The following is a 26293-nucleotide window of genomic DNA, read 5'->3' on the forward strand; positions in this document are numbered from 1 at the left end:
GTAACTAACCTGCATGTTGTGTACATGTACCCTAAAACTTAAAGTATATATAAAAAAAATTGGTTGTTTCTAAGATTCTATTCGTGTACAAATTTGAAGGCTTTGTAAAAAGAAAGTGATAGGAGTAAATTTTAGCTACTGCTGCTGAAGGCTGCTATTGTATTCAAATGAAGTAATACCTACCTGGCAGGTGAAATGTTACTTTGATAAAGGGAATTGTTAGGGGAGGCATTTCCCTTGTCTTCCAGAGTGAAGCAGAAAATTATTTCCTCTTTTAAAGTCATGGAAAATTCTGGCTCTCCTCCTATCAAGCTTTCTCTTTAATCACAAGTATCATCTCCAAAATCAGAAATCTACCTCACAGGGATTCACCTCCTCCTGAAATAGTAAAAATTCTGGTGGAGAGGAAGGGGAGCAGCAGCCCAAACTAGAAATACTAGGCTGGATGAACTATAGCCACAGGTAGGCTTGGTGAAGTCAGAATGCCAGCCGACCCTGACACTGAAGGAGCGGATGTTCCCAGTGACCCAAACACCTATGACATGGGACAATCTGCCACTTCACTGAGGCATTGATTTGAATGTTCCACTGTGGATAACAAGTGTGGCAGCCCCATTCAAAGGTGAGTAAGCCCTCAGCAGCACACCTCATCACAGCTTTTTTATTCACTCATATTGAGAAGGATGACAGAGTTGAGATTTTGGCACTGGCTCTGAGGACAGGCAGCCTTGATAGGAGTCCTGGTTCCACCATTTACTAGCTGGATAATGTTAGGCAAGTTATTTTACCTCTCTCTACTTCAGTTTTCTCATCTGAAAAATGAGGACAATAATAGCACTTACTTTGTAAGGCTGTTGGAGGATTTAAAGAGTCATACATGTAAAGCTGTCAGCATGGAGCCTGACACATAGTGAGCTCTGTGTCAGGCCAGCTCATATTCCTGTTATTATTGTTACCCGTATCACTCTAACTTCCTTGAGGTGGCAAATTCTACTTTGAACAATTGCTCCCACGGGAGAGTTGACTCCTTGTACTGTCACTGGAGGTGGAGAGAATATTAAGAAGTTGTACATAACTGATGATTTTTATAAGAAATTCAATTGTTTTTGTTTAATATAGAATCATTAAGGTTCTGAAGAGGTCACTTACACTTGACTGCACTTTATGGGAGAAATTATGTGTTACAGCACCATTTCTAAATCTGAACAATTGCTAAGAGCTTAGGACATCCTTTCTAAGAATATTAAGGTTCTACCTCATTCCACTCTAAGGTCAAGGGGGTCAGGGCTGGCAGTCATACTCCTTTCCTGTAGGCAAGAACTTCATGGGAAGAGGGACAAAACAGTATTATCAGAGACTGGCTACAGTAGCCCCTTGGGATCCTCTGAGCTCAAGGGGTCAGACTATAGGCCAGAAGAAAGATACAGGCATCTGGCAAGGAATGACTAAAAAAGAGGGTATTACGTTTCCTTCTAGATTATTCTATTCAGTTAAAAATGGAAGTATCTGTGGCAGACAGTATTCAGGAACAAAGACTGAATGGCTGGCTAGATTCTCTCGTGCTCTAGTTATCAGGAATATGAACATATAATAAAGAGGAAAATTGTTACAGAGGAGCTAGCAGTTCCTACAGCCTTGCTCATTTTTCAGGTATATGAGTAAGGAACACAGAGGCCAGGGCTCTTCTTTCAATGAATTCCTACAGCCTAAGAAGGATGAAGAGACTTCATCTATGCCACAGACTTCGTCTACGGCAGATGAGAAAAGAGCCCATCCACGTTTTTGACAGGTGTTTGGTTAGAAGCCTGGAGTCAAGTATGAGATTGAAAGGGTAAGATTCAGGGTGATTTTATTACTTGTTTATTTTCTGTCTGTGCCCAACAGCTCCACAGAACAGAGATTTAAACAAAATAGACTGTTTTGTTCACTGCTGTATCTCCAGTCCTTGGAGCAGTTGCTGGCATGTAGAAAGTGCTTGTTAATTACTTGTGGAGAAGGTGAAGCATGGAATGAAAGGAGAATTGTGGAGAGGGCAGCAGGGTAAGCAAACAGTCATCATAAGTGAGGAAGATACAGAATCTGGAGCTTGGAGGACAGCAGGCCCAACAGAGAAGCTGTGAACACAGAAAGTCACTCCCAGAGCAAGGGACTGTGCTCGCAGGTCTAAACAGAATTCTGCAGGATGCTGGCCCTGTTCTCCCAGTGTTTGATGCTACTCTCTGATGACCCCCTAGGCATTTCCAACAAGCATTCTAATTAGCATCTGCTAGTAAGGCCTGAATTATGTATATCTTAGCCCAACCTCCTCATCTATAAAATTGAAGTAATGTATCTTTCAGGGTTGTTGTGACTATTACATTTCAGTAATACATGTGAAGTATGCAGCACTTGGCAATGATTAGGACTCAGCAAATAGTAGTTATTACTGTTATTATAAAATAATACAGATGGTTTATTTCCTTAAGGTTTGTTTTTAGATTGATTTCCTAAATATTGGATGTTCATTGTGATTAGTTGTTTTGGAAAAATAAAGAGGCATGTTTTGCTTTAAAAAATGAAGAAAAAAAAAAGAAAGGAACAGTAGATAAACTTACCTGTGACATTGATCTTAGGTAAAATGTATGCTTTACAGAGCAAGCCCCAGAATATAGAATCAAGGCATTCACAACTCTGGCCCCCTAAGAGTGAAGCAATACTAAAAATGTGGCATATTTGATAAGTATCACATATAAGGTAAAGCAGGGAAAAAAATTAAATCCCTAAGAAAAATGTGTTTAGCCAGTGTAACCTGTTGGACTGGGTTTGTTATTGTTGTTTTGTAGAGATGGGGTCTTGCTATCTTGTCCAGGGGTCTTGAACTCCTGGCTTCAAGTGACCCTCTCTCTTCAGCCTCCCAAGGTGTTGGGATTACAAGCATGAGCCAACACACCAGGCCTTTTTTTGGGGGGGGGAGTAGTTAAGAGCAAGATAAAATAGAAAATACATAATTGGACCCAAAACAGGCTAAGAAAATGATCCTGCCATACTCTAACTGCCTGTTCCCAGGAGGCTTTTCCCAAGGGACTCCCAAGACTCCTAAGAGACCTCTACAGATGGGTGTGAATAATACACCAGCGGTGCAGGTTTTCTAGGGGCTGATGCAATGACACAACCCACTCTTTTCTCTCTCTTCTATTTGAGGGTGCTCTGAGCTTGTCTTTACAAAAAGATCCATATACAAATATTTTTTCTTCTGTGTCATTAAAAGTTCACACTTACATGCCCTGTGATGAGTATTTCAAATATATATATATTAATAAAATGAAGTGCTTTTTCACAACTATTAGGAGACTCCATTTTTATGTACCGTATTTCACTGAAAAGGTGTCTTGGGTGATTGAAATCATTAATTCAGAAATAACAAGGTCAGTCTTGCCAAACAGAAGACTGCAATAACACAAAATCAACATAGGATTCTGACATTTATCCTGGCACTGAACTGCACTGGGCTATGTTATTAGGAACACAGTTTGAGTTAATTGGGATTAACTCAGTAAATCCCAATTATTTACACTCATAAAAGGATGAAACACACTTAATAGGACAAAATCACTAATCTGAAATCATGTTTATTTTCCCTTTGGAAAGCAGTTAGAGACACATATCCAGAGACATAAAATAATCCGAGTTGATTCCCCACCCCTCTTATTTCCCCTCTGCACACCTACCCAGGCCAGAAACCTAGCAGTTAATCAAGTCCCTCTTTATTGTCCTTACCCATGAGATCTCTTGTTCCCCAATATCTGTCACCAGTTTCTTCTCTGTTCCCCTCATTTAGGTTCTCATCACCTCTGGATTACCTCTTGTCTTGTTCTGCTCAGAGCCATTGCACAGCACAGGTCCAAGGGGGCACTGTGTCATTTACACTGACTACAAAGTGAATGGTGCCCCTTGGGGTTGGCAATATAATGGCCTTGCCACCTGCCTTCCTTCATTTGCCCTCTTAGTCATCTTTTAATGCAAACATGGTAATGGTGTTCCATTTCTTAAAATCTTAAAAATTAATGGAAATGATAATGTTGAAGATGATAATAATAACGGCAGTTACATGCCACATGCCATGCACAATGCTACCCAAGCATTTTACATTTGTTAATTTGTTTAGTTCTTACAGCAATTCTATGAGGCAGGCACTATGATTATTCCTGGTTTACAGATGATGGAAGAAGGTTCAGTGTTGAGTAATTTGCCCAAGGTCATACAATTTCTATGGCTCCTTTTCACTTGGAGGTGGAATAACCGTAGTTCAGAGCATGACTCAAACAGTGGCTTACCTGGGCTGAAACCTCATCAGCTGTTGAGCATTATATGAGTTAGATCATGTAAAGTGGTTTTAGTGAGGCCCCCAAGTTAGCTCATGTTGTTATTATTAGTATTTCAGGATACAGCTCAAATTTTTTGGAGAGAATACGAGACATACAAAGTCCTTCATGACTTGGTGCCTGCATCTCTTTCCAGCTTTGTCTCTGGCCACAGACACTTTTGTATTTCAGTTGTTTCCCCAAAGGACACTGCTGATGCACTTCTGGTTTCTCTGCATACCAGAATCCTCTTCCTGGGACACTGTTTTCTTCTTTGACAGGTAAATATTATTTACTCATGACACTTTGTCTGATCCCTCCATGGTGACAGAAGCACTTTGTTACCCCAAAGCACACAGCGCCTTCTTCTATTACTTCACCAGGTTTCTGACATGATATTTTTGCATATAGATCTTCCTGCTGGACTGTGAGTTCTTAGAGAGCTGGGCCCAGCATTTGCTTATTACATAGCCTATATTGGTGTAGTGCCTGGCATCTGGAAGACACTCAGCAAAATGCACAGAACTGGATTGAACTGGCATGGGGTTGGCTCAGTTTATAAATAAACTGAATTTTAAAAATTCACCTTCATTTTCTGCGGTCCACTGATTTAAGAGCATCTAATTATTTATTATCTGCTATAGGCAATGGAACAATTCTAGTTTGGATGTCTGACAATCTGAAATTAAAAACTTGACAAGAGTGTGCTGCTGATGAGAATAGTATAAACCTTGAAAATGCACTTATAATAAAGGATGGTTAGAATGCCAATGAACATACAAACTCACATGGAGCTGGTAAATTCAGACAGAAACTAGTGAGAGAACAGTAAATTTGCTTTCTAAGAAAGATGAAGTCTCCTGCCCTGCTTTAATTTTAGGCTTTAAGCATTCTCACAGGGTATACACATCCCTCTATTAATTGAAAACATTGCTGGTTAACATGTATGTCTCAGTTTCAAAGCATTTTATAGTTCTATACTATACTTGGAAAATATTTTCCAATGGGCCTGTGGCTAACCTTTCATATTATGTCAGGGTCAGTGCTGAGTAGAGGGTTATTAGAAGATAAATTCAAGAGAACTGCTATTTTTTTTTCTAAGAAAACAGGAAGGTCATTGCTAGAAAGGATCAAGGTCCTTATTTTAGAGGAGAAAATCAAGGCCCAGAAGGTTAAGTGACTTCCTGAAATCACACAGCTTTCAGGCAGGGGCAACACCACACAGGAAGGCCCCGAGTCAAAAAGAATTTGGAAGGGGTACAGGGTGAGCCAGGAGAGACGGTCAGGGCTTAGAGAGCCACTACCAGGGGTTTACATTATATTCCAAGATGAATGGGCAGCAGTTGAAGGATGTCACACAGGGAAATGCTAGGATCTGGTCTGTGTTATCAAATATAAATACACTACTACTGTTGGGAGGAGAAAGACCAGCTGGAGGTTCTTACAGTGTGCAGACATGTGATGATGGGGGCCCAGGTGAGAATGTGACAGTGGAACTGGAAAGAAGGAAATGGATTTGAGATGTATTTTAGAATTAGAATCAAGAGGACTTACGGACAGTAAGGAAGAGGAATGGATCAAGGATGACTCTTATGTTTCTGGTGTGGGTGGATAATGGTACTGTTTATAAGCTGGAAAGATATAAGAACAAGGAACCAAGATTCTGACTTTGGACATGTGGTTATGGGAGGCTAGAAGTGGAAGCCATACAATGGAGGCTGCACTGCATGGTGTCTGTCACAGCATAAGCATAATGGTGGTGGTTATTTTCACTGTAACTCTCTCCATCACCCGAGTAGAGTTACTATGGCCAAGGGGAAACAGATCAGAATTGTGATGTAGTTTGTACACGGGCTAGTTTGACTGCATAATGAATGGTAGACACATTTATTGGTAAATTGATGCAGATGTCTTGAATGTTGGGTATAAATAGGCATTCATTGAAATCACACTGATTTTGATGACTCTTCTACATAAGTAGTCAGAGATCTGCTTTGAATTACAGCTATTACTGATGACCTAAATCTTATGCAGAATTTGTTACCAAATTTTTCTACTCCAAAGTAAGCAGTTTTGACTTATAATAAACTACTTATCAGTATAAATACTAGCATTCCTATTGATAGCTTATTGTTTGGATGTTATTTATCCAATCTCTAAAAATTGATTCATTTATAAGATAGTTCAAATTGTCTTCCACTGTCAGTGGAAACTGAATATCACCTTAAGAGAATATGCCTGATACTGTTTTGAAGCATGTTGATTTTCTACCAGCTATGTGCTCAGACACTCCTCTACTGCTCTCTAGTGTCCATAATTACTCAGCAGACCTTTAAGTTTGCACATGTAGCAATCCACTGGGGAAGAAATAAAAACCTTTATCTATACTTCATCCCAATTTATTTTGGGAGATGTACATGCCATAAGTAGTCAAAATAATAATCCACCTGGAGCAGTAAATATTTTCAGAAAATCCATTCTCATGGATTTCCAGTGGGCATTATTTACAATCATGATTCTCTAACCTCTCAGAGAGGTTATTTTTATTGAGTTCCAATGTGAACTACTTGGTCCCTTGGTTTGTTGTGCTGGCTTTTGACAGTGTTATGGTTCAACCTATACAAGGTATTGTTTCAGTGCCTTCACAATAGACCTGGATGCTTGCCAGATAACATAATCTACAAAGTGCACAAATAAAGGAACAGAGGGGCACGATAACTCTTTGCCTAGCCACATGAGAGTACCAGATCTGATAAAACCAAATTCAGCGTTCAATGTATATATTTGTCATTTCCAACACCCATAGAATAAGATTTTAAGGACGGATACAACTAAACATCACAGTACAGCAGAGAATTGTGGTGATATTTATGACTCTTGTGTTAAGTGTTTCCAAGAGAAGGAAAGCCACATTTTAAAGCAGTCAAAATAATTTAAAAGCTGTAATTGCGTGTGTATATATGTATGCACAAATGTTCAAAGGAGATGTATTTACCTTAGTTTAGTGGGGATTTATCTCAAATACCAAGATCTAAATTAAGCTGCTTGTTGTAGTGGGTCTTACAATATACTTAAATAAAAAATAAATAAATAAACTGCTTGAACAGCCTACATTTTCTAGACAAGTGCTATTTTTCTTTATCTACAGAATAAAGTGGTCTGTTCCCAGTTCCAGGAGCTGAGAGCTCAGTTTCCAGGCCCTCTTCAGTAATTTGCCTATTCTAATTTATAGAACCTAACAATTCCCATGTCTAAAACTGTGAAACCCATCTAGATAATGAAAATGGTGCCCTCTGCTGGAAAGAATCAAGAGGAACTAGAGTGACAAACCCTCTCCTTTCTCGTGTTGGTTTCATTACCTGGAATATGGAAAAGAAACATTTATATTTGTTTTAGGAGTTAACCTAGTATCCTTGCCTACACCCTTCTTAAGATAGATGCTCCATCAATCTCTTCTATCCTGGAGAATTTAGGCTGTTTTGCCAAACATTTCTTTTCTGAAGAGAAAGCCTCACCCCAAATATTGACTCCCACATAGTTTTTGACTGAGTAAATAGGGTTATTAGTTTACCACTTCTCTGCAAAGCAGTTGGAGTACCTGTGTACATGAAGGAGAATGTAAGAGAATGGTGGATTGTTCAAAAAGCATCTCAAGCCTACTCATTGCCCCTGCCAGGTTCCCAAACAGGAAGCCACTAGGGTGGTAAATATAACCCCAGTGGGTGAGTTACTCCAAGGGCACCTTTTGTAAAACTCTGGAGGCTATATTGGATATATTCATAGTGAAACAAAAGGGTTGAAGTTGAACATTTACAATATTAAAATCACTGACATAACAAAGTGAAGAATTTGAGTGTTGTCTTTAATAGGAACTTTTTCTGCTGCTCTATAAAATAAAGACCTCAACACTGTGCCACAAAGCCATCATTGTCAAGGGTGTTCTATCAACACTGCTATGAGGATCCAACCCACTTTTAATTATTTATCAGGGAAACAAAAGAGTCACAAGGTGACTGACAGTGGAATCAAATGCTTTCCAATAGGACTAGACTCATAAAAGAGCTTACAAAGGTTTAAGTTCCTCTGAAGCCAGGGCCCCTTTGGTGTATATGTGACCTAAGAGTGACCATTATATAATAGAATGAATGGGAAACTGCCTGTTCACCATGAATCCTAAACAAGTCTAAGTAGTTCTTCTTGTTGAATCATCAACGACAAATCCTTAGGTCGGCAGAGGCCTGAAGTCATTTGTCATCCAAATATAAGGGGAGAGAGGCACATAAAGCCATGTGCAATGTTTAACCTCAGGTTCCAAGTATTTAATTTTGAGTCCTCTTTTCCTCATGGGCTGTCTTCAACTTTCCAAAACAACTTTAATGAAATGCAGCTGGATTCTGTACCTTTTCCAATAATGCAGGAGACAGGAAAAATGATTTTGCTTACTTGCCTACACTTTTTATAAGCTAAAGTGTGAATGAACTATCAAAACCTACTGAAACTTATTAAGCTGAATTCTGTCACCAGTAACACATTTTATAGCTTTTAAAAGAAAAGCTATGGGGAATTTTGAGTAGGACATGGGTATTTAAAAACACAGTTCGCTCATTTAATTGGGAGCTGTACAGCTAAGCTTCAGACAATTTAAGTTTTAAAATTTCTCTTGGGGTTTTAAGGGTATTGATCATAAAATACTTATTTAATACTGTTTGACTGTGTGACTGCTCCTTCGCAGTAAGGGTCATCCTTGCCCTGCTCCCTCCCAGGTATGAAGAGTGGGACATGGTATTCAGCATGTGTTAGTGAAAACACAGAAACAGCCAGCATTCTTCTGAGTACAGTTTTAGGACCTTTCTGCTGCAGTGAAGTCATTTTGGTTATTTCCAGTAAATATTTATTTCATTTGGCACCATGCTTAGCTCCTTATTTATTAATTAGCATTATGTTTCATTCTAATGCTAAAATAGAAGGCTTTCAAGTTATTGAGGATCCCAAATGCATTTATAATAAAATGCTAATATCATCTTTGTATCTTTGGGGATTTTGGTGTTGATAAATTTGAGGGTGTTTTGGAGAGGTTTCTAGCACCATATAGCAGCATATTATAAAACCATGGCAGTTTTATTCTATTAAGAAATCACACCCCCAGACGTATCTGAAAAACTTCCTTTGGAAGATTGCAAAAGGCCAGATGCAAATTTTTTGCTTAAAAAATTAGTCCAGGAATATAAATATCAAATGTTTATGATTTTAGAAGGTCCAAATATCTGTCTGGAATTCTGGGTTGAAGTTAGCAGGTTAAGGTCAAGTTTTTTTGAAAGTCTCTCCAAATATGCAACAGATGACACTGCAATTCCAGCTGTGTTCACCTATTCTTAGAACAAAGCCCTACATGTACTAGGAAATTTCCAATCAGATAAGAAAAACACCAAAGAGAATGGGTAGATTGGTGAGGTGCGGGTATATGGACATTTTTTTTTAAGTGCTGAACAAATCGCCAGGAAATAATTTCTTCGAAGACACTGAGAGGACAGAATTAGCATACAATTCCTTTACATATTCTGTTTTTGCACCTGTCCCCCTGTGACGTCGCAGTCAAGCAGATCTCATGTTAACCGGCTCCCTGGCTTTGGTAGGTGCCTGGGGCTGGAGGCTGGCTTCCACCTCTTCCCTCCAGAGCTGAGCCTCTTTGCCCCGTGAGAATTACCTCCCCACCTTTCTTCCCTCTGCCCGTTCCCTGAGCAATTTAGAGGGGAAAAAAGGGTAAAGTTTTTTTTTTAATAGTCATCGAGTATATGTAAGATTTTAAAACTTGTATCCTCCACTTTGGGTATTAAGGGAAAGCTCAATGATAAGAATCTAATTCTGCAACGTTTGTGGCTAATAATGACGGTGCAAGTTCAAAATTACTCTGAGCTTGTGATAGAAGTCAATAAGTATTCTCTCAGCAACTGTTGTGGGCTGGGTGTTACAGGGGATGAAGAGAGAAGAAAGACACTACCTTCATCTCAAGCTTAGGATCTTCATGAAATTTTTTTTTTTTTTTTTTTTTTTTTGAGACGGAGTCTCACTCTGTTACCCAGGCTGGAGTGCAGTGGTGCGATCTTGGCTCACTGCAAGCTCCGCCTCCCGGGTTCACGCCATTCTCCTGCCTCAGCCTCCCGAGTAGCTGGGACTACAGGCGCCCACCACCACGCTCGGCTAAAATTTTTGTATTTTTAGTGGAGATGAGGTTTCACCATGTTAGACAGGATGGTCTCGATCTCCTGACCTCGTGATCCACCCGCCTCGGCCTCACAAAGTGCTGGGATTACAGGTGTGAGCCACTGCGCTCGGCATGGGATTCTTAAAGTACCTAATTTAAGTTTTTAAATTTCTAGACTACAAGAAAGAATTCAGTAGTTGTGGTAAATGAGGTTAAGATTCTAAGCCATATGATACTGACAATATTTGAACATTTTTATCTATAAAATGGGAGTTTCATGTGGCTCAGCCCTGGTGAGAATTTAGAGCTTGATACATAATGTTCTATAATTTTTAGTTGCAAAATAACAGTAGTTTGAAAGGATTTTTTTTATTATTTTTTTGAGACGGAGTCTCGCTCCGTCGCCCAGGCTGGAGTGCAGTGGTGCAATCTTGGCTCACTGCAGCTCCGCCTCCCAGGTTCACGCCATTCTCCTGCCTTAGCCTCCTGAACAGCTGGGACTACAGGTGCCGGCCACTGCGCCCAGCTAATTTTTTGTATTTTTAGTAGAGACGGGGTTTCACCGTGGTCACGATCTCCTGTCCTCGTGATCCGCCCGCCTCGGCCTCCCAAAGTGCTGGGATTACAGGGTTGAGCCACCGCACCCGGCCTGAAAAGATTTTTAAAATAAATGACCTATGTGTCACTCCCTTTCTTCTTTTGTTGTAGTTATTTAATATCATTTGTTTTTCTAAAATATAAATGAGTAAACTTTCATTTTCAAATGGCCATTCCTTTCTTCACAAACTTTCCGCCTCAAAACAATGCTTTTCTAGATCTTGCTCTCCTTTTCATCTCCTTTTCCTTGATGTCTCCAGAGTACAGACTCCTCTGGAGTGTCTCTTTAAACAGAGTTCATGGAAAGGTGAGCCATTTCACCAAAGAAAGGGGAGAGTAGAGGACTGGCAATGTGCCATTATCATCAGAGCCTCTTGTAAATCAGAATATGTGATAAGTTCTTCACTGAACTAACTCCAAGCAGTAGTATCTCTGTTCAGATTCATTTATCTTGATTTTTTTCATTTACTTGACTTATTTTTGTGCTTTTTACATTGTTAACTGAGATGGCAATGGTACACACAACTATTCTGCTATCCACAAAAATAAAACAACACATAAAACGCCGCAATGCAATTCCCTCTCATCAAACTGATCCACTGTAATAGCTAGGGTGTCATTTCCCCCATGTGGAGGAACTGCAAGTGAGACAGCACAAGCAATGGGTGTCTCAGAAGATCCTACCAAAGTGCATATGAAGAGAAAGTGCCAGGTTGAAACGTCTGCGAAGATCAGAGAGTGTGACACCAGCTCATTACAGTGTCAGACAAGTAAGGACTTTCCAGTGCTTCCCTAAACTCTAACCTTGCAGAGGTCAGAACCTACAATTCATCAGCTGTGGGAGGAGAAGGAGAAACCTTATGTGAGGGAGAGAGAAGGAGCCAGACACACCTCCCGTCATCAACTGCAGCACACAGAAGCTGGGAGAGAGAAAATGCGTTAACTGTAAATCACACTCCGAGTTTTGACTATGACATGGAGTTGGACTTACAAATTAGCAAATTAAGACTGTTTGTATTCCTTAAGGATGAACAGAAAAGTTATGGCCTCACCCAAATATTCATCCTGGGGTAGGGGAAGAACTGGATCCCATTGAATAATTTAAAGAAACAGTGAAAAACAAAATAATGTTGCTTTAGGACCTAATCTTACGAACCACATTTGTCCAATGTCCTGGTTACACAGCTTAGAGGTCTCTGTGTCCTTGGGCTCCAGAAAGGCTTTAAGTTTGAGTGATGAAGTCTGAGGGAGAATGACCGCTGCTGATTCTTAGGTTTTCGAATGTCAAAAAATCAGGCTTCAACCTTCGAGACTCTTCTTTTTATAGTCTGGATCCCCCTTAATTCGTTACCTCAACCATCAGGTACAGATGAAGACATTTTCTGAGGGACGCCAAACCTCCATTTTAATAGTACTTCATGAGGCTGCAGTTGAATTTATTTCATTTCTGTACTTGTTTTCACTGAGGTACACTGACTCAGAGGCAATACAGGAATACATTTCCATTTTACTATAGGATACAACCACTCTAGCAAGCTTTTCCATTATTTTCCTTTCCTGCTCTAATTTAATCTTGCTGTCTCCCCCACCTTTTTGATGAATACAATGATATTAATACTTCTTTTTTACTGTAAAGATATGTATGACTATTTGCTGTTGCATGAAAATGATAATTGCTACAATGTGTCGACTATCTACCTGTTTCAAACACTTTATATATTTTATCCCTAATAGTTATAATAATCCTGGGGGAAAAAAGTGGCAGTATCTCCATTTTATAGAAAGAGAAACCTAACAAAGAACATCAGAGTTGCTCCAGTTTATAAAGTTATAACATCAGGGAGTCCAGACTCCCACCTGGGTGTGTTTAATCCCTGGTTCATTTGTTTCTGTAGGATGAACAGAGTGGGCAATCATTGTACAAATGGAACAAGAAACTTGGATGATGTCCCTAGTTCTGTGACTAATTTGTGGATTATCTTATTAGTCCTTTAACCATGTTTGGTGAAATAAAAACCATGCTATGCCCATCAATTTCTCCTAAAGGGATGTTATAAGACCAACATGCCACTATGGATAAAGCATCCTAAGGAAAGATGATGGAAATAGTCTTATTAACAGAATAACTTCAGTTTTGTCTCTATTCATACTATAATTTCCTTTAATATTATATGATAGTGTTTCAGTATTTGAAATGTGATAGCTTAGGAGTTCAACTTATGATAAAGACACTCTGTAATTTTCCCTAGTGTGCCCATTTTAAATACAATGCAAAGAAGGAATAGAATGCCTGTGGAATGCTTATGGTAGTGACTTCAAAGGAGTTCAGAAATTTCTATCAGACAAAACCTTTGCTCCCTTGTTTACATAAAATCGACATCATCTAATAATGTATGTTTCCCACTGTGGCATTGGATTCTATTCACCTTGATTCCTGTTTTCATTTCTTTCATTCTACTTTCTTCCCAATCTGCCTGATGCATTTTGTTTTCTCAAAATTCTGCCTTTTCTGTTGGTTGCTAATGAGTTTTCTCTGTTCCCTTCTTTCCTTTTACCTACTGATGCCCCCTCCCACCATCTCTGCTTACATGTTTCTAGTCCTGCTGTTCACCTCTCTTTATTTTTCCTTCTTTGACTCTCTTCCTCTGTCTACACTCTGCACATTCTGGCATCATCTCTCTCCTTCCCTCCCTCCCATCCTTCATGCCTCCTTCAACTTTTCCTCATTACTGCTGCATGTATAAATAGGCTCGAGGCAATCTATCATTTACGCACATGCTCTCAGATAATCTCTTGCTGCATCTCACAGACAGTAGTTAACTGCAGCAGCAAATGTAACATGCTCATTTACTATCTTTTTAGAAGGAGTGCTGAAGCAGGGGTCAAAAATGAAAGAGACATCTCACATGATTCAGTGGCTTCTGAAGAATGAGCTGGTGATAAGAAGAAAGCTGTTTTCTTACATTTAATATCGACTGAAAACATGTTTCTAATGAGACAAAGCTGCTGCAAAATATATAAGGCTCTGAATGATATTAATCTGTCTTCCCAATGTGTTCTCATTAGTCTCATTCCACTATTACAATTAATAATGTTATTGCTAGAAATTTACAATGTGTCAGCCTTTCAGTGTTACTTTTTAAGTATTTAAAGTGAATTATCTAATTCAGGGATCTTCCTATAGCTGTACCATTTGTGTACTACATTAAGGAGACCAGCCAATGGGGAGAGCTGAGGCTGCTTGCAAAGCCATAGGTGGAGGCTAGCATTATTCCCATTTTTCAGATGAAGAAAATGACGTGCAGATGGTTTAAGCAACTTTCCCAAGTGGAAGAATCATGTAAAGTACAAAGTTAAAACTGGGTATTTTGAGACTTGGAATGTCAAATGTGTAATATACTGTCCAGTATAGTATTCTCTTACTAAAGCATACACAAATTGAAGGCAGGTACTGTGTCTATCTTGTTCATCATGGTAGCTACTAGTTTTAGAATAAAGAAAAAAAAATAAGGGTAAAAGTCATGAAACATTTAAAGGATTGGTCTTTCCAACAAAAGAGAAATGCAGTAATGATAAAGAAACTGTCCACTCTTGTAACTCTTACGCATCAGTTTTATCTTCACTTCCATCAGACCCTGGGCTGAGGTGGTGGTGGAGAATGTGGGAAAGTCTGGACTGACCCACCTGGATGTGGAACACACCTGGCTGTAGGTGGACAATGTGAGGCAGGCCCTTCAGTGTGCAAAATCAGATTCTGTGATGAGGAGTAGAGAGTAGGACAGGGAGAGGGAAGGAAGTCCACTAAGAGGTACTAGAGGGTATTCTGCAGGCAGAAAGGGGGCTGAGTAGATCTGGCCTGCAGGGAAGCTTGTTTTCAGGTTAATATGGTGAGACATGGGAGATAGATGGTTGGTGTTCAGTATGCTTGGGGAGAGGTAATAACAATATTGACATGCACTAAATATGATACCCTGTCTGAAGCACTTTGTGTTACCTCATTTCATCCTCACCAAAATCTCTGAGATTGGTATTATTATTCCTCCTATCTAAAGAAAATTGAAGTAAGTTGTCAAAGTTTTAATGACAGTAAAAAGGTACACTGTAGAGTCACTCCCAGATATGTTGATTTCGAAGTCCACATTTTTGCCCTTCCACCTTAGGAGGAGGGATTGGGGTTCAGGGGAGAACCCCTACTACCAACTGGGCTAGGGGGAGGATGGAAGGTTCCCAAATCTGGAGGATCAAGGAAATTACACAGGTTTTGAGGATGGGCTTGGCCTTGGGGGACAAGACTGGCACCCAGAGACAAAGTTCACTGAAGGCTCAGGGAGAGGAGTTGGATTAAGGGCCTGGTTACTAATGCACCACATCTGAGCAGAACATCCTCAAGATGACTTGACATTGCTCCACCCAACTCCCAAATGAGGGAAGTGGTTTGAATTCTCTCTGGCTAAGAAGAGTATTGGTTCTGAAACTGGGGGTGTAGCTGTAGCTGTAGCTGTAGCTGTGGAAATGGGAGGCCTGTGTAGTAAGGAAGCCATTCTGCCATTACATTTTGAGTTCAGATTGTTTTATCTGCCAGTATCTGTCCCAAAGTGATCTTGAATCCTTTTGGAATGAGGTAGGGTAAAAACTTAAAAAATGTACATGTCTTTATAGTGGATACATTTCCCCAAGCAGCCTTAAAATGTGTGCGTATATTTTTCTTAAGTATGTTTTTGCCTCTCCCTCTCCCTCTCCCCACAGTCTCCCTCTCCCCACGGTCTCCCTCTCCCCGCAGTCTCCCTCTCCCCACGGTCTCCCTCTGATGCCGAGCCGAAGCTGGACTGTACTGCCACCATCTCAGCTCACTGCAACCTCCCTGCCTGATTCTCCTGCCTCAGCCTGTCGAGTGCCTGGGATTGCAGGAGCGCGCCACCACGCCTGACTGGTTTTCCTATTTTTTTGGTGGAGACGGGGTTTCGCTGTGTTGGCCGGGCTGGTCTCCAGCTCCTAACCGCGAGTGATCTGCCAGCCTCGGCCTCCTGAGGTGCCGGGATTGCAGACGGAGTCTCCCTCACTCAGTGCTCAATGTTGCCCAGGCTGGAGTGCAGTGGCGTGATCTCGGCTCGCTACAACCTCCACCTCCCAGCCGCCTGCCTTGGCCTCCCAAAGTGCCGAGATTGCAGCCTCTGCCGGGCCGCCACCCCGTCTGGGAAGTGAGGAGCGTCTCTGCATGGCCGCCCATCGTCTGGGATGTGAGGAGCCCCTCTGCCCGGCCACCCAGTCTGGCAAGTGAGGAGCACCTCTTCCCGGCCGCCATCCCCTCTAGGAAGTGAGGAGCGTCTCTGCCCGGCCGCCCATCGTCTGAGATGTGGGGAGTGCCTCTGCCCCGCCACCCCTTCTGGGATGTGAGGAGTGCCTCTGCCTGGCCGCCACCCCATCTGGGAGGTGAGGAGCGTCTCCGCCCGGCCGCCCCGTCTGAGAAGTGAAGAGCCCCTCCGCCCGGCAGCCGCCCCATGTGTGAAGTGAAGCCCCCCCTCCGCCAGGCAGCCGCCCCGTCCGGGAGGGAGGTGGGGGATGCCTCTGCCCGGCTGCCCCGTCTGGGAAGTGAGGAGCCCCTCTGCCCAGCAGTCACCCCGTCTGGGAGGTGTACCCAACAGCTCATTGAGAACGGGCCATGATGACGATGGCGGTTTTGTCGAATAGAAAAGGGGGAAATGTGGGGAAAAGATAGAGAAATCAGATTGTTGCTGTGTCTGTGCAGAGGGAAGTAGACGTAGGAGACTCCATTTTGTTCTGTACTAAGAAAAATTCTTCTGCCTTGGGATGCTGTTAATCTATAACCTTACCCCCAACCCCCTGCTCTCTGAAACATGTGCTGTGTCCACTCAGGGTTAAATGGATTAAGGGCGGTGCAAGATGTGCTTTGTTAAACAGATGCTTGAAGGCAGCATGCTCGTTAAGAGTCATCACCACTCCCTAATCTCAAGTACCCAGGGACACAAACACTGCGGAAGGCCGCAGGGTCCTCTGCCTAGGAAAACCAGAGACCCTTGTTCACTTGTTTATCTGCTGACCTTCCCTCCACTATTGTCCTGTGACCCTGCCAAATCCCCCTCTCGGAGAAACACCCAAGAATGATCAATAAATACTAAAAAAATAAAAAAATAAAAAAAGTATGTTTTTTAATTTAATTGAATATTTTATTTATGTGCGGCAACTAAATCATCAAAGTACTTTCAGTGGCTCACTAGGATGCATATCTAGAAGCAGCTCCGCATTTTAGTCTCAAGTGTGTTTGCAGGTTCCATGTAATTTTTTACATACATTGTTTATCTCTTCAAAATGACTGCTTCAAGAAAACTGAAGAAACGAAGACAGTGGCAAGGGGCTGGCATACAGGGTGAAATAAAAATGCCACTCCACTCATACCAGGCAAAAGTTGGCAATATTGCTGGATTTCCACTCCAAGTTTCCAAACTCCAATGATAAAAATGGTCATAAAATTAATTGGAATCATTGTAACTCTCTAGCACAGGTACTTTTCTTTTGACATGAAAATTATTTATAGACTGTTCTGTACTTAGTAATAAATAGCCTCAGAAAAAGGCTCTGGAGACAGAGGGAAGTGTGGGAGATATTGGGGTTGTCAAAACGATGACTGGGGGCGTGTACTGCAGGTCTTGGCAGTGCCACGGCAAGGGAAACAAAGCGCAGACCGCATTGCTTGGGCCCCAGCCCTCCTCCCAGCCCTGAGGCTGGTCCCGCTCTAGACAGCTGGGTTTGGAGCTGCTCCTGTTCAGGGGTAACTCCCCACAGGCCAGGAGTGGGGCTGTTCCTGGGGCATCCTCAGGCCAGCAGTTCCTCTGAATGGTTGGGGGAGAAATGAAAAGACACCTGGAGGGCTGTGGATCACAGCCAGGTGTTCCTGAGGGAGCTCAAGCATTCTGGGCAAGTCCTGGATGAACTCTGACCAAACCTAGAGGATTCCCTGTTTTTCTTAACACTGCCTTACTACTTCAGTTTTCTTCAAAACTCTAACATTTCACTAGCCTCTTATACTGCCTCGGACCACCCTGAAATTATGAGCGGGGAAGTGGAAAGAGCACGGGACTTGGTGCCAGAGAACTGGATTCTACTTCTAGCTCTGCTGATCTTGACCTTGAGCAAGTCAATTAAACATTGCCCAAGTCAGTGCCATCGGTGCCCTCACCTGTCAAATAGAGGGTGGACGGCAAGCCCCACTGGTCAGTGAGAGATCTGGAGATCATCTGGCCCATTTGACACAGGGACCTTGTTTTAGAGATGAGTAAACCAAGGTATCAAATAGCCTCATGCTCCCTTGGACTCTCAGGTGGTGTGGGGATTACACTTGAACTCCAGGGCTCTAGCCCTTCCTCTACTCCACTCGACAGATATACCACACTGTTGGCGATTAAAGTCCTGTCTGTTGTGAGACTCCACGCAGCAATTTAGACAGACACTGACATAGTTTCTGTCCTCACTGTTTGCAATGCAAAAACATTCCCTCATTAACAACAGGAAAAAAATGAGAGTATCTACATCTGCATAATATCATACACTATATTTATCATCATTACCATCATCATCGTCATAAAAAAAAAGCCTTGCAAACACCTACTATGTTAATGATAGCAACCAACATCTGTTGCTGGAGAGGACATTAATTTACTTACAAATAATGGCTATGTAGGAAAGAAAGCAAACTGATACCACAGAGCAGCAGGGATCAGTTTTGTGGAAGACAATTTTTCCATGAATCAGGGGGGTGGCATGGGGATGGTTTCAGGATAATTCAAGTGCATTACATTTACTGTGTACTTTATTTCTATTATTATTACATTTTAATATATAAGGAAATAACTATATAACTTACCATAATGTAGAATCAGTGGAAGCCCTGAGCTTCTTTTACTGCAACTAGATGGTCCCATCTGGGAGTGATGGGAGACAGTAAAAGATCATCAGGCATTAGATTCTCACAAGGAGCGCGGAACCTAGATCCCTCCCATAGGCAGTTCACAATAGGGTTCGCACTCCCAAGAGAATCTAACGCTGCTGCTGATCTGACAGGAGGTGGAGCTCAGGCGGTAATGCTCCCTTGCCCACTGCTCACCTCCTGCTGTGCAGCCTGGTTCCTAACAGGCCGTGGACCAGTGTCAGTCCGTGGCCCAGGAATTGGGGACCCTTGCCCTAGAGCAACTATTGTGTTTACTTGTGTCTTCTCTTCTAGATTCAGTTTCTTAAGAGCAAGAACTGAGTCACTTCCGTTTGACCAGCATGTAGCATCATGCCTGGTCTGGGTAAGAGAAATAAAGATTATGGATAATCCAAAAGCTTTCAATCTCCTTTCATGTCTTTCACAATAAACCTTTGTTGAAGACTGCTGTGGAAGTAATGCCTACTTTGAGGAACTAAAACCTTTCCTGACACCATCACAAGGAAAGGGGCAAAGAAAGAGTGGCAGAAGGAAAAGGAGAGGGGGAGGGGTTGAAAATTCTAAATAGCACGGTGGTTATAAGTGGGTCATCGTGGTATTCCACATGCATTCCACTGCTGTGTTATGTCCCACATATGAGGTCTGAGGGTGCCCTATTACCTCCTGGTCTAAAATCCAGTAAAGAACAAGAGTCCCATATTAGCTTGTGGATCCTCAGTGGTGGCAAAGAGGAAGACTGGTCCTGCTGATGGCAGTAAAACAGGGCTCTCAGTCAATGCCAGATCTATCCAGAGTGTCACTCTCTGCCTATTCAACATTAAACAAATGACTGAAATCTTGGTACTGCCTTTTGAGTCACTTTCTTCCTCAATCTCTAGTTCAAAGAGAATAAAGCCTAAACAAAAAGTCACCTCGATTATGGAAGTTTTTTCCTCACACATTTACACCCCCTGAGTCAGTCAGGGACCAGACTTACTTGAAATCCTACATGCTGAAAGAGACAGGGGGATGCACAAGGTCATGCCTTTCCAAGTCTCTCTAGCCATAAGGACCCCACTGCCTCCCAGAGCTTGAGCAAGGAGGTCTTGGCGACTGTAATGTGCAGACGATAACAGAGCAATGATAAAAATCCTCCAGCTGGAGTGGAGTCGCCTGACCGTCACTGGAGCCTCCAGCCCTGTTTCCTGTGCAGGGCACATTGGAAACACATTGGTGTTATTTTCCCTTTTTAAAAGCTGTTTTATGTTTCAGCTTTCAAGTTGTCCCAGTCACTGCGTCATGGCATCATCACATACCAACTCAATGTGTTTCATGTTCATTTGGAGAGAACATTCCCTCCCTTCCCCTTCTGAGAAATAAAAAGGAAGATGCTGGTGTTGTGGATAAGCAGCTATAGGAGTATATGCGGCTTGGGGTGAGAAGAGGGAGAACAAAATGAAATTCTAACTAATCTGGCCCATCTCATCTCAGAAAACCAGAACTCTGTGAATGATTTATGATTCTCCTGACCCTCACAGCAATGCAGATTGTGGCTCTTGCCAAGAACAAATTAGGCTGTCTGCATCTGTTACTTTTCCCAACCAAGAAAATCTCCTTGTGTGAGGAAGGAGCAAGGTCAGCAGCCAGGACAAAGGATCAACCCAAGAGAAGGAAAAGATAAGGCTGCATTCCAGTGCTTCTATTGGAAACACCACTCACTGGAAGCAAAATCAAGTCTTCTTTCAAAACTCAGAATGAGCACTTGGTTGCATGTGTGCATCTAAAATACTCAGAATAAAAAACAAAATAGAATACTCAGAACAGCAGTGCCATCAGGCACATTCCAAACGTTTAACCCTTATCTTGCTTCAGGGGCATGCATGACTCCAGGCCAGCTATTGACTAGGTTTGGCTCAGGTAACCATGACCTTATTCCCCCAGACTGAGGGTACCTCTCCATGCCACAGTCCTGGAAATCTTTAGGACTGAACCCCTCTGCGCCCACTTCAGAACTTTTCCCTTAGGCTCCTGCTATGTCCAATGAGTTGTTATTGTTGGCTCCATGTGTAGCTTTTGAAGGGAGCTTGAGGTTTCCCTCCTCCCACTCAAGCCCCAAAAGAAAGGCCCTCTGCACTTGGATCAAGGGATCAAAGAGCTCTCAGGAAAACACAGGAGGGCCCTGGTGTTAGGGGCAACTGGAACTTTCCGTGGCAGGAATAGAAAGGCGAAAAAGCCTATTGTAGTGTGTCTTCTCATCCTTCCCAGGAGCACGTGCAGAAAGACAAGCCTCCTACTTGTGGGGGGCCCACTTTGGAGTAGAACCAGGGGATGGGAGCTCTGGAGTGGATAAGGCCATTAGGTGTGGTCTAGTGTTCAGAGAAAGGCTTTCTAAGATTGCTTTTTCATTTTATTGCTGGCCTGGGGAATGGTAAAGCATCAAAAAGGCCAACCTCAGGGCTTAGGCCTGGGGAAAACAGGTTCCTTCACCTCAGAGAAAATAGACTTTAGGCAAAAACAGACCCAGAGGCTTCTATATGGTGTAACCCCCTCACCAACCTAGACAGTCAGATAAGGAATTAGGGCCAAACCCCAACTATTTGATGAGGAGTCTGTCTTTGCCCAGAGGGTCTTCTATGCCTATATCCCTGGCAGCCCTTGGACTCTGGGATTTGGCATGGTGCTAAAAATATCTTCTCAAGAGACACACAATTAAAAGTTAAGATAGTCTAGCTTGTTCTGACTACTAATCAAGAGTAGTAACATTATTTTCCTTATATTCTTCCTCATTAGATGATCTAATTCTTTCAAATACCTGGTAGAATATTGGTATAAATGCAAGGGACTTTTGAGTGGATGAAACCCAACCCCTTCATTTTACAGATGGTTAAGTTAGGATCCAGAGAGATTATTTCTCTAGGCTAGGTCACCCTGCTAGTTAGTGGTGAAACTGAGATGAGTGCACAAGGAAAGCTGCAGTCATTGGCAAGGCCTGGGATAATGAAAAAAACATGTAACACTGAAGGGGTAAAATCTTAGCAATCATCCATCAGATACTCAGTAAAGTCCTACTATGTGCCAGGCACTGCAAGGCTGAAGTGTGAGGTCAGACAGACATAGCCACTGACCTCGCAGGAGATAGAAAATACTGTAAGTACCAAACAACAAGAAATGGAAGCAAGGCTGGTTTTACTTCAAAGAAGAATGAGTGCTTTGCATCCTGAGAAACTTTTAGGTACCATGGCCAACTGCATATTCAGCCGTCAGAGTATGTCAATGATAAGAGATTAAATCCTTCTTGTTCATATATATGAATGTATTATTTCCACATTCATGAAAATGAAAGGGAAAGTTAATTTCAAAAGAACTATCTCAACTTTGCTAGTGCCAGCCCCTTTAGCCCCAGCTGGAGAAACAACTGTAGGTGTGGAGCCACACTTCTTTGTAGTCAGGAGGAACTCCTTCCTGGTAAGATCACCCAAAAAGAAGACTGATGCTCAACCACAGCTGGCAAGAACGACAGAGTCACAAATGGACTGCGCATTTACTCCTGACTCTGCAAAAATGAAAAACAAGAGTGATGCTTCAAAATACTAAAGGAAATACTTTTGAGTAATAATCAATAATAATAATAATATTAACAATAATGACATGGTATGCCATTAACACACTGTTTAGACTAAAACACATTTTGGGGTGTTATGATCCATTCCAACAGTCCCTGAGCTATAGGGTTGGAGAACAAAGTTCCATGAAAATAAACCCTCATCTGGGGCAAAATCCACCTTATCCTTTTCTGTAAATCCAGCCAAATGTATGCTTCCTACTATTTCCTCTGAAATTTAATTTCAGGGCATTTTGAATTAGCAATAAGGGTTAATACATGGAGTTGACTTTTAAAGAATTGAATGATTATTACTTTCAAGAACATAAGATGAGCCTTCAAGAGTGTTGGCGAGTAAAATCCCTGGGCACCTGCTTTAACAGATTGACAAGGACTACATATAATTAGCACCCTGATTGCCTATACCCTAAAACCTTCTTTACACCAATCAATTGCTTTGACTCCCTAATTTCACAGGACAAAAGAGACTTCAGTCCAATACCAGTGTGAATGACCATGAATCTACTCAAAATTAGTAGACTGTGAATGAATTCATTTGTATTCCATTTAATAACTCTCATCAGATTGCAATTCTGTTCCTCTTGCCCAGAGGTAGTGTGTTACGAAAATGGTTGGGGGCAGGAAGGAGGTGACACAAATCAGAGGGAACTGTGGGAGGTATCAACATGAGAGGGGCATTTATTTTTCTTTGTTTTGGTTTTTGCCTTGATGAAAAATTTGTAAAAACAAATTGGACTACGATATTTCACATTCAACTCAGCTGACTGTGTGTCTGACAGGACCTGGTATGTGTGGAGGGCAGGGACATCAAGGTAAAATGTGCGAAGGGTCATGTTTCCCCTGCCAACCCCTATTAAATACTGTTTGACATTCTCGTCCATTTGACTATGAGCTTTACACTTTTTGCCTGCTTCTTCTATAATGTTGTTTTTGGGTAAACCACGACTTCTTTGAAATCACCAAAAGAGAACACCATCTGTTGCATTATGATCATCACGGTTCAAGGTCAGGCCACTGTGAGAGTCTAAAGAGGTGTCAGAGACGACTTCCTTGTTGTCCTCTCTGATCCTCCTGGGCTGTTCTGTGCAATGGGAAGGATGGCAGTCGCTGAGCTGCTGGGACACTGGGCAGCCTCCTCTGGTTGGCATTTCTCCTGTGGTCTATTTATTTACCTGTGTGTTCCACACAAGCCAGGGAGCTCCTCAGGGACTGTATTTTCTTAATCTTTGCACTCCTGTCCAGCAAGCCCTCAGGCACAGTGCCTGGGGCATAGCAGATGCTCACTAAATGGTGGGACTGGATAATGGGATGTTGCGGGAGGCAGGGACTGCAAACTCAAGTGCTTTCACAGGGTACTGCCTTTGCTCCCTTTGGTATCCAGTCTGAGGAGAGCACAGGTTGAGAAAGGCCAGAAAAGCCTCGTACCTGGAACGCCCATTAGGTGGCCAGGTGATGGTAGACACCTGAATTCTGTTGGAGGCCCCAAACAGATTTTGCTCTCTATATCTAAAAATCAAAAGATTTCACATACAAATAGAGACTTTCAGCTTCTCTAGAAAAACTAGATACTACAAAATTCGGCCCACATTCCAACTCAGCAACAAGTGGCTGGAGCTGCTCCCTTTAGATGGGACACAGTCTCCAACCACCCACCATTCATGTTTATACTATCTGTGTGGCTCCATGAGGCATCTGACTTTGCACCTATTCTACTGGAGGAAAGGTAAGAAATCCAGCCAGATTGTGTACAGAGGAGCCAGGGGATCCATAAGCTGAGTCCTGAGTTCCAAAGTTCCCAGGCCATAGCGCCAAGCATCACGTTACCCAGAGTCTTGGCCTATCTTCCAGGCCAGCCTACTGCCCCTGGTCCTCGCTGTGGGTATCCTTTGAACAGGTTTGGTAGATTTGTACCAGCAGAGAGAAGCAAGAGTCCCTCATGGGAAGGGCACTTGTTGTTGAGGACCTGTTACACTAACATAGCAACAACTCAACATGTGCTTGTTGATTGACAGGAGGCAGAGCTCAGGCGGTGAAAAAGGGTCTTTGCCTACCACTCACTTCCTGGTATACGGCCTGGTTCCTAAGAGGCCACAGGCCTATACCAGTCCATGACCCGGGGGTTTGGGGACCCCTGCTCTAGAAGGATCTAGCATTCTTCTAGCATAGAAGTCATTAATCAAGAACAATGAATTAGATTAGAGTAAACACTATGACACTGGCTGCTTTCTTTGTAAAACAACACTAGCAATTTTGATACTTCTCAAATATAACTTTGCAATACAGTAATCAAAGCTAACTGCAGTTATGTAGCACAGTGCAGCTACCTCCTTAGAACTAAGTTTGCTGAAGGGCTGTTTAGTGCTCATGTTGTCTTTGGGGAGGGAGCATACAGTGGCTCCAGAGAACTGAAGATGTCTCCCACAAAGGGAGGTTCTACAGTGAGAATTTACGTTTGTAAATTGTTGTTCTTTCTACCAGGACAGTCAGGAGAGCACACAGCAGCACGGGAATTAACCCTAATTACACTGAAGAATTTACATTGGAGGTACAGTACTTCCCTTTTAGCGTTACTGATTTGCCTTTTACCGAACTGTTTTTCCAGTATTTTGTTTCTCTTTGTTTATTTGGCTTGATTAGGTGGTTTGCTTGATTTGTAATTTAAAAAATACAAAAACATGGCTTTTTATTACTTGTAAAAGGAATTTCCAACTATGTTGCATGGCGACAATGCTTAGCTTTATTAATAAACTAAAACAAACTAGTTTTCCACATGAAAGGTAGATAGTAAGATTATTATTTTAGTAGTTTAATCTTTTAACAGTGAAATAGGTGTATAGGACAATACAAAACGGTGAAGTGTGATTAAAACTTGAACACTCAAAATTGACGTTAAATTCCTATGTATATGTTTGGGAATATGTATATGTTGGTATATTTAAGGAGAGAAGAAAGCTTACATTTATTGCACACCAAGCATTGTGCTAGATACTTTACCTACAATGTCTCACTTAATCCTCAGAGTAAATTTATAAGAGATGCATTATTATGCCATTTTACAGATGAGGACACTGAGGGTTTGAGAGTTTACATAATTGGCCCAAATTAATCTAAGTAGTAAGCTGTAAAGCTAAGACTTGAATCCAAGGTGTCCACGTACAAAGCCAACATTTTTTCCACTATTTGCTATTAAGTGATCTTGTGGTTTACTGAATAATAAATAACTATTCAATAATTATTGGATGTCCTGTAATAATCTGACAGCTTGGTCATGGTTGTCAAGGAGAAGGGAAGAGGAAGGTCAGAATGATACGGTTCAAAAAGGAAGCATCAGAGCAGAGAAAGGCACCAAGAGAGGCCCCTTGTGAGAAACACACGAATAAGGGGATGATGGGGACAGGGCTTAAAGGTGGCATAATAAATAATCATGACTATCTCCCTTTCTCTTTATAAAGGATTTTAGTGGTAAGTAGCTGGATTTCCAAGCCAAACAGGGAGCAAGAGGTGAGGATATGTCAGAGAAGGCAGATTTGCTTGATAGACTTAGAAGGCCTGGAGAGGATACCACCACCAGACGGCACCAACATTGCTTGTCTGATATACAGCACTGGGTG

The 26293-nt window shown here is 42.0% G+C and overlaps 1 protein-coding gene across 4 annotated transcripts in view; it reads right to left on the reverse strand.

Annotated features, from left to right (window-relative positions):
- Positions 1–26293, reverse strand: part of SCFD2 (sec1 family domain containing 2) — a 493080-nt gene that overhangs the window by 103142 nt on the left and 363645 nt on the right. For 3 of the 4 annotated variants that reach the window (XM_017007787.3, XM_047449646.1, XM_017007786.3), the window contains one exon: positions 1–26293. This exon is cut by the window's right edge. The exons of the other annotated variant lie outside the window; for it this stretch is intronic. The gene's annotated coding sequence lies outside the window, so the exon portion shown is untranslated. 4 annotated transcript variants of the gene reach the window in all.

Source organism: Homo sapiens, chromosome 4 (genome assembly GCF_000001405.40).
Source record: "Homo sapiens chromosome 4, GRCh38.p14 Primary Assembly".
Classification (NCBI taxonomy): Eukaryota; Metazoa; Chordata; class Mammalia; order Primates; family Hominidae; genus Homo; species Homo sapiens.